This window comes from Homo sapiens, chromosome 4, assembly GCF_000001405.40.
Source record: "Homo sapiens chromosome 4, GRCh38.p14 Primary Assembly".
NCBI classification, from domain to species: Eukaryota; Metazoa; Chordata; class Mammalia; order Primates; family Hominidae; genus Homo; species Homo sapiens.
Window position 1 is genome coordinate 174333603 of NC_000004.12, and position 9743 is coordinate 174343345.

General features: G+C 37.3%; 1 annotated feature.

Annotated features, from left to right (window-relative positions):
- Positions 1121–1290: an enhancer, noted in NCBI's record as "active region_22163". NCBI's record gives its function as "activates an Ori minimal core promoter by ATAC-STARR-seq in GM12878 lymphoblastoid cells {active_cell/tissue: GM12878}" and the evidence as "EXISTENCE:reporter gene assay evidence [ECO:0000049][PMID:35858748]".

Genomic DNA, 9743 nt, shown 5'->3' on the forward strand with positions numbered 1-9743 from the left:
CTTGTTAGTGTAAAAGTTAATGCATTGCTGGAAAAGCCTTGTAAAAAATCAGAAAATTATGCAAAAAATGAAGGGAAGATTAAAAAGGGTAGTGTTTGACCAGCAGTTATAGGTTTAGGGATGTATTTTTTTAGAATATATTTTTAGGAATGTATCCTTCAAATTTTAGGGTTTGGGGGCATAATGAGAAGATTCACTGGAATAAAATTCTAAATCTTATATGTAAATGAGCATTTTTGTTCATAGTAATATTTAATGGAATGTGGCTAAGAGTCCTATCTAATGGTGAAACAAAAATGAACAAAATATTCTCCTCAAGCTCTATGTGGTCCTTCTGTTACCTCTGTCTTTTTAATGACACTGTTCTCATGCTCTCCTTCCTCCCTTCCTTACATCTGTTTGGTCCAACTTGATGCCACACAAGACAAAAAGCTTATTTGATGGAAGAATATAAGCTGATAGATTAGTAGGGAGAAGAACCATAAGGTTTCCTCCTCTCTTCTTGGGTAATATGTTTACATTAACGGCAGTCATCTAGAGGAGCACCTCCAGCTTCCCTATCAGAGAGAGTGATTTTCAGACAGTGTAGTAGGAGAGCAAGCAGCACTGTAGCTCATGATGTAAATATTTTCTCAGAGTGGAAATTTTATAGCCTACCAGATAACATGTTAGCTGCGTAACCTGTCATACTTTTGAAAAAGTCCCTTCACAAGATAATCTTTATCAATAATAAATAATAATAGTCATTGCTAACATGTTTGAGTACTTTAATTACTCTGGCCAGGCACAAAGTGGTTTACATATATTATCTCATTTGAATCTCCCAACAATCCTATTAGGCAGGTGCTTTTGTTATCTCATTTTATGGATGAGATATCTGTCAATTCTCTTTTGTGATTAACGCACTACCTCTAAAATTAGTGGCTTAAAATATCAACCCATCATTTAACTCAAGATTCTGTGGATTGATGCCTTGGGTGCAGCTTAGCTGGCTTGTTCTTGGTCTTAGTTAGCCAGGAATAGGTGATCTTGGCTGAGCTCTATGAACCTGTGATCAGCTGGTGAGCCAGTTGGGGCTTGACTGGTCTATAAAGACCTTAGCTAGGTCCTACTCCAACAGGGCCTCTCCCCACACAGTTTCTCATTCTCTAGCCTGCTAGCCCTGGCTTGTTCATGTAGTAGTCTCACAGTTTCTAAAGCTCTCAAATGGAAACTGCAAGACCTCTTGAGGCCCAGGCGTGACACTAGCATAACCTCATTTTTGTTGCATTCTGTTGGTCAAAGCAAGTCACGACTCCTACCAGGTTCAAAGTATGGGGAAAAAGACTCCACTTTTCGAGAGGAGTGTCTTTGTGAGTATTTTTACATTTGTTTCTGACTCTAAGAGATGTGTCATGACTTGCCAAAGATCACACAGTTAATAAATAAAGGAATTGAATTCAAATCCACGTGGTTTGAGGCCATTACACTGCATAATTCAGCATTGTGTTTCAAATGTCATTGTTAACCCTTGACCTCTTCCTCCCTTAATGCTAAGTAACCACATCAATTTCTTATTGTAAATTCTCTTTAAAATGTTACTAGTAGCTTTGACTGTGCAAACTGCAAATTGTTAATCTCTGCAAAATCTAATGGGTCTAGACCAGAATCTTGTAGACTCTCCATGAGTCTTAAGAGTTCATCAAGTCTCTTGGACAAGGAAGGGTGTCATATCTGAGACTCCAACTAATGACTTACTAACTCACTTACTAACTCATCTCTTCAGAATGGTCTCTAGGATTGGAAGCTAAATGTGGAGATTGAGAGTAGCTTTTGGGCCAGGCAATGGAAACCAAATAAACAAAATGAGTTACCAAATACCCTTTCCTACATTCAGTTCCCTTCCCATCATTTTGATCAATGCTGAGTCTGTTTAGTCCAGGTGCAGTTTTATTTACTGACATCAGTGGCCTGGAATCATCAGGATTGCCTTATAGTTATTGGTTTTCATTTTGAATCCCAGATGACTATGGTTTTTCCCTCGATTATTTAACCACACATTTAATTCAAGTCTTATTCATGCTCAGTAAGTTAGCTTTTAATATCTCCATTTTCCCTAAATCTGTGAGCCTGGGGCATTGACATGAAATACTTCTAGGACCCAGGCTTTTAAAATTGGAAATATGGTTAGCTGCTTCTTATCTCAAATTTCCTTTCCCTATACCTTGGTGTACTAGTGAGCATTTTTTTTTCAACTTAGACTTCTAGTTTTCTTTTTGAGTAAGAAAAAAAAATGAGCTGAAGTAGAATTCTTCTTTTATTCATTGCCGTGCCCTTTAGTGGTTCCTGTACTGTGTATTTTGGAGAGTTACAGACCTCAGGAGTCAGCACTGGATCTTAGGCAGTGATAAAAGCTACTGACACAACAGCTATTTTCTCCAACAAGTCCAAGTGCTTTTGCTTTTGATTCCCTACTTCGTGATGTTAGCAGTGAGAGTGGAAGAACAGTCTCAAAAAAGAGGTCAGCTTCTTTCCAGAGCCATTTGGTAAAAATAGGGAATGACTGCAGTTTGGATTTTTCAATTCGTCACTCTGTCTAGAAATCTATTCTTTAACAAACCCCTGGTTCTTTATATTTTCACAGATGGGGACCATATTTATTATTTATTGTTGTGCATATCTTTTTTTAAATTTTTTTTTTTTTTTTGAGAAAGGGCCTTGCTTTGTCACCCAAGCTGTAGCACAGTGGAGTGATCATAGCTCTCTGTAGCCTTGAACTTGTGGGCTAAAGCAATCCTCCTGTCTCGGTCTCTGGAGTAGCTGGGACTACAGGAATGCCACCATGCCCCGCTCATTTTTTATTTTTTTTAGAGAGAGTGTCTCACTATGTTATCCAGACTGGTCTCAATGCTGATCTCTAGCAATCCTCCCATCTCAGCCACCCAAAGTGTTGGAATTACAGTATTGAGCCACCATGTCTGGCTGTGTATATCTTGTAGATTTCTACCAATAGTGTATGTGTCACTTATTAAAGGCCAAGCATCATTTTAAGTGTCTTCTCAATACTTAATTTATTTAACATCCATATAATAATGTGCTGCAATATACATTGCAGGCTTAAAAATGTTCGTATTATTAAAACCTGGTATCTTTATATTCTGAAAAAAGGACATAACTAGATATACCTAGGTATGCATTGCAGACCTATTGATAACAGAGAAATAAAGGAAACATTCTATTAAGCAACAAGGGAATTGCAGTCACTCATACCGTGTGTATAAAGGATAGTGGCTGCAGTAGTAAGGCAAAAGCTAGACTTGAATACTTTATGTAGAATATAGAATAACATCTTAAAAGCCTACAGACATACACCAACATGTTATTCTGGGACATGAGAATATGGGTTTCTTTTTCTTTTAAATATTTACATATTTTTCTGTTTTCTAAAATTAACCCACTTTTTTTGATATTTTACTGAACAAAAATTATATATGTCTGATATATATCAGATATATATCTGAATTTGTTTCAGATAATTCAAATATATATATATATATATATATATTTGTTTGTTTGAGATGCAGTCTTGCTCTGTTGCCCAGGCTGGAGAACAGTGGTGCAATCTCGGCTCACTGCAACCTCCGCCTCCCAGGTTCAAGCGATTCTCCTGCTTCACCCTCCCAAGTAGCTGGGATTACAGTTGACCACCACCATGCCTGGCTAATTTTTGTATTTTTAGTAGACATGGGGTTTTACCATGTTGGCCAGGCTGGTCTTGAACTCCTGACCTCAGGTGATCCACCCTCCTCAGCCTCCCAAAGTGCTGGGATTACAGGTCTGAGCCACTGCACCCAGCCAAATTCACGTATATTTTTTGATATATCAAACATTTGTATTATAATGATAAAATAGTTTATTAAAAAAGATAACATTTGCAGAAAGTACAGAAAAAATAAAAAGATATGTGAAACCATCATTTATAATCTCACTACTGTGAAGTGTAAGTACTGTTATTTTCTCATATTACCTCACATTCATTTTTTCTATATATCATTATATATATGCAAATGCACACCTACACATATACAGACACATATATATACAAACAATTTTGATTCCTAAAGTTTACCTCATCATTAATTCCATATTGCAAAAAATTCTTCATAAATATTTTAATTGCTACAAAATATTTCTTGGTACAAATGTGACATAATTTGTTTCCTCTCTTATTAGACTTTTGTGTTGTTTTTAATTTTTGATTTTATAAAAAATAGTGAGATTAACATACTTTTTGATAACTTTTTGTCTACTTTAAAAAAATATTTCCCAAGGGAATTGTTGGTGGCTTTCTAATCACCAAACCCACTGCTGTTTGTCAGTCCTCATCCTTCACATCGTTTGCACTGCTTGCCTGATGTCGGCCACCTCGTCTTCCTTGTCACATCCCTCTTCTCCTATGGCTTTCATGAAACAGTGGTTTCCTGATTTTGCCACTGGTCTAACACCTTTCTCAGTTTCCTAAAGGTTTGTTTTTCATTGTACTTTTCTAACTTGATGGTCCTAATATTTGCAATTCAATCTCTTTTTCAGTTCTCATCTCCCTCATCCCTAAGCCATGTTTTTTGTTTTTTTTTTTTTTTTTTTTTTTTTTTTTGAGACTGAGTCTTGCTCTGTCACCCAGGCTGGAGTGCAGCAGCACCATGTTGGCTCACTGCAACCTCCAACTCCCAGGTTCAAGTAATTCTCCTGCCTTAGCCTCCCCAAGTACCTGGGACTACAGGTGCCTGCCACGCCTGGCTAATTTTTTGTATTTTTAGTAGAGACGGGGTTTCACTGTGTTAGCCAGGATGGTCTCGGTCTTCAGATCTTGTGATCTGCCCACCTTGGCCTCCCAACGTGCTGGGATTATAGGTGTGAGCCACTGTGCCAGGCCAACCGTAAGGTTTTTTCTTTTTCTTTTTTTTTTTTTTGAGATGGAGTCTAGCTCTGTCACCAGGCTTGAGTGCAGTGATGTGATCTCAGCTCACCACAACCTCCGACCCCCTGGTTCAAGTGATTCTCCTGCCTTAAACTCCCAAGTAGCTAGGATTACGGGCATGCGCCACCACACCCAGCTAATTTTTGTATTTTTGGTAGAGACGGGGTTTCACCATATTGGCCAGGATGGTCTCCATCTCCTTACCTCGTGATCCACCCGCCTCAGCCTCCCAAAGTGCTGGGCCTATAGGTGTGAGCCACGGTGCCCAGCCAGCCCTAAGCTTTTATGCTTCTATGAGGATTGCTAGTACATCTTTTCTTTGAGCTTTGAACTCTTTCCCATTCTCTAGATTTTCATTTCTCCTTGCTGCAGATGGCCACTTCAAATTCAAAATGTTTGAAATGGGAAGCAAATTTACCACCAAGTCAACCTTTTCTCCTGTTATATTACCCTCTTATTTCTACCTATAACACTACAGTGCTTCCAGTCAGCAGGGCTTGAACTTGGAGTCTTTTTTAAAAAATGGCTTACTTGAGATGTAATCAAACTTTACATATTGAATGTATAAAGTTTGGTCTGTTTTAGAACCATTGCAACCATCAAGATGATCAACTCTATCACCCCAAAAGTATCTTTAAGTTCTTTTTAAATTTATTTCTCTCTCTAGCTCCATCCTGAGGCAAATGCTGATCTAATTTCTGTCACTATAGATTTCTTTTCATTTTCTTGAGTTTTGTATGAATGAAATCATACAGTGTGTACTCAGCACAATGATGTGGAGATTTATCCACATTGTTGCATGCATTCATATCTTTTTCTTTTTATTGCCAAATAGTACGTCACACATGGATGTACCATAATTTGTTTATCCATTCACTTGTTGATGACATTTGGATTGTTTCCAATTTTTGATTTTTAGAAATAAAGCTGCTATTAACATTGGTATTGTAAACCAAAAAGTACCTGAGACAAGTCTTAATCAATTTAAAAGTTTATTTTGCCAAGGTTAAGGACGCGGCCATGACACAGCCTCAGAAAGTCCTGATGACATGTGCCCAAAGTAATAGGCTACAACTGGGTTTTACACATTTCTGAGAGACAAAAAACATCAGTCAGTACATGTAAGATGTACATTGGTTTGGTCCCGAAATGTAGGACAACAGGATGTGGAGGCTTCCAGGTCATAGGCAGATTAAAAGATTTTTCTGATTGGCAGTTGGTTGAGTTATATAAAGACCTGGAATCTAATCTGTCGTGGGAGTTTTAAGAAAAGTAAAATTAAAATAAAGACCTGGAATCAGTAGAAAGAAATGTCTGGGTTACAATAAAGGGTTGTGGAGACCAAGGTTTTATCATCCAGATGAAGCCTCCAGGTAGTAGGCTTCAGAGAGAATAGATTGTAAATGTTTCTTATCAGACTTAAAGAGCCTTTTCTATCAGTTTTAAGGTCTGTGTTGATGTTAATGGTATTGAGGCACGTCTGACTTCTCCTTCCCATCATGGCCTGAACTAGTTTTACAGGTTAACTTTGGAATGCCCTTGGCTGAGAGGAGAGGTCCATTCAGAATGTTTGCGGGCTTAGAATTTTATTTTTGATTTGAAGTATACAAGTCTCTCGAGTAAATTTCTAGGAGGTAAGTGTATACTTAAATTTCAAAGAAACTGCCAAGCTGTTTCCGAAAGTAGTCGTACAATTCCTATCAGCAGCATGTGAGAGTATAGTTGCTCCATATCCTCACTGTCTTTATCCATTTATGATACTATAACAAAATGTTCCAGTTCTAGTACACATATATACATGCAGAATATATAACAAGCAGAATATAATCTTTTATCTTTTAACTTTAATCTTTTCTGACTCTATTAGTCCGTTCTCACGCAGCTAATAAAGACATAATAAAGACTGAATAATTTATAAAGGAAAGAGGTTAATTTGCTCACAGTTCAGCATGGCTAGGGAGGCCTCAGGAAACTTACAATCATGGCGGAAGGGAAAGCAGGCATGTCCTTCTTCATATGGCAGCAGCAAGGAGAAGTGCAAAGTGAAGGAGGGGAAAAGCCCCTTATAAAACCAACAGATCTCGTAAGAACTCACTCACTATCACAAGAACAGTATGGAGGTAATTGTCCCCATGATTCAATTACCTCCCACCACATTCCTCCCACAACATGTGGGAATTATGGGAACTACAATTTAAGATGAAATTTGGGTGGGGACATAGCCGAACCATATCACTGATCATTGAGTATATTATTAACTTTCTACGTAGATTCAATGATTCAGCTTCATATTATTAACTTTCTATGTAGACTCAATGATTCAACTACTTAAATATGTCTAGGCTACTAATAAACCTTCTTGAATGAATAACAGATGAACAACTGAATATAAATGAAAACAGATGGCCATAAAGAAGAGGATTCAGAATTGTCATCAGCCCTTCACAATCACTGCATTTTCTCTAATAAGCTCACATGCCCATAGCACATTGCCAAAGTTTATTGACTTCTTCCAGAATTTTTATATAAAATTATGATTATGATCTCATAGAGTTCAGGATTGCTTACCAAAGAGCATACCCTCACCAGGATGATGCCCTTTCAAAGGACCTGGTGCCCCAAGGAGCACTGGGGGAGGGAGGCATACAGATGCATTGCATGACATTCTTAACCTAAACCCTGCTTTATGATCTCAGAATCTTCCAAACTTCTAGTCCTTCCAGATCTGAAAATCTGTAGTCACTCCATGATCCAGAGACAGAAGGCAAGCAGAATTTGGTATCTGGATACCAAACACTGATGTTGTGTTGTGAATCTTTGTTATCAAGATTCTTGTGCCTTTAAATTACGTATTTGTGGATTTGACCTATTGAGATATATCAATATTCCTATGCATATATACATATTTGCCCAATAAATCTTTTGATAAACAAAGAAGGGTAGTATAATTCTTAGAAAACAGTGGTTTCTGCTATTGAGCTATTTGCTTTAGATTTGATGTGTCTATAAATGGCTATACAAAATATGTTTTAAGTAGTGATAATAGATTAGATATTAAGCAACTGAATGTGGCAGCTAGGACTAAGGTATATTACCAAGTTTTTATCTTCATTGAACAAATCATAGAAGAAAGTGGGGAATTCATTTCATACCTTTCTCTGTATATACTCCATATTGATTTAACTACTTAAATCATCTCATGGGTATATAACTCTTATTTCATCTATATCTTTTTTTCCCTGACTCCTCTGATAGCTTAGGAGAGAAGAAAGGTATGTTCAGAGGCATATGCAAAGACCTGCCAGAACACTCACAAATGGGGTGATGAGAGTAACGGGGTAGTGAGAAGCATTAATTTTGTATAGAAGTCAGATATACAAGCATTAAAATATATGCCTATTATAACCACTTAAATTATGGTTCATTTTGATAGAAAAAAATTCTGCTGAAAATCTAATTTCAGGCAGTTGTTCACCAAGCAGAATCATAGTAACTATCTTATCTGTGCTTTCTATGTATTTATCTTGCTGACTGATTGTGCTTGTTATGGTAATCATTTACTAGTCACTCTATGTAATGTCTCACAAACTGTAACTTGAATAAAGGCAAGTTATTAGACCTTAGTACCAAAAAGTATTTGAAAATTCAGAGTGCTTATCTCTTCCTTTATAATATCTGACTTCATCAGGAGGATTGCTTGAAGCCAGGAGTTCCAGGCCAGTTTGGTCAACAAAGCCAGACTCTGTATAGAAAAAATAAGGAAGGACGGAAGGAAGGAAGGAAGGAAGGAAGGAAGGAAGGAAGGAAGGAAGGGAGGGAGGGAGGGAGGGAGGGAGGGAGGGAGGGAGGGAGGGAGGGAGGGAGGGAGGGAGGGAGGGAGGGGAGGGGAGGGGAGGGAAAGAAGGGAAGGAAGGAAAAGAAGGGAAGGAAGGAAGGAAGGAAACTGGTACCTACAGGCAGAAATGCTTCTTCAAAGAAGCCTAACTCTGCATTTAATTTTAACTGATTGAATAAGACTTACACATATTACCTATGATATTCAATAATTTCCCTTACTAGAGCCAATTGATTACAAACCTTAATCACATCTAAAAAATAATATCTTCATAGCATCACCTACCTAAGTGTTTGTAAGTGGGAACTGTAATCTAGCCAGGTTGACACGTCAAAAGACAATCACAGTTAAATTCTCAGAAATAGAATAGCTGAATCGAAGAGAGTAAATTTTTATTTTTTTCAATGTTTTTTAAATTATAGACAATTTTTAGAGCAGTTTAAGCTTCACAGCAAAATTGAGAGGAAGGTACAGAGTTATCTCATCTACCTCCTGCCCACACACATGATAGCTCCCTCATTATCAAAGTCCTCCACCAAAGTGGTACATTTATTACAACTGATGGAACTACATTGATACATTATCGTCACTCAGAGTCTATATTTTAGGGTTTTTTTTAATTTTGTTTTTGGTGTTGGACATTCTATGAGTTTGGACAAATGTGGATATGAATGACATGTATCCATTATTATAGTATCATACAGAGTATTTTCACTGTCCTAGAAATCCTCTGTTCTCCACCTATTCATCCCTCCTTCCCCAAACCCCTTGGCAACAACTATTCTTTTTACTGTCTCTATAATTTTGCCTTTACCAAATGTTATATTGGTAACATACAGTATGGAATCATACAGTATATAGCCTTTCCAGATTTTTTACTGTCTCTATAATTTTGCCTTTTACTTTTTACTGTCTGTATAATTTGTCTTTACCAAAATGTTATATTGGTAA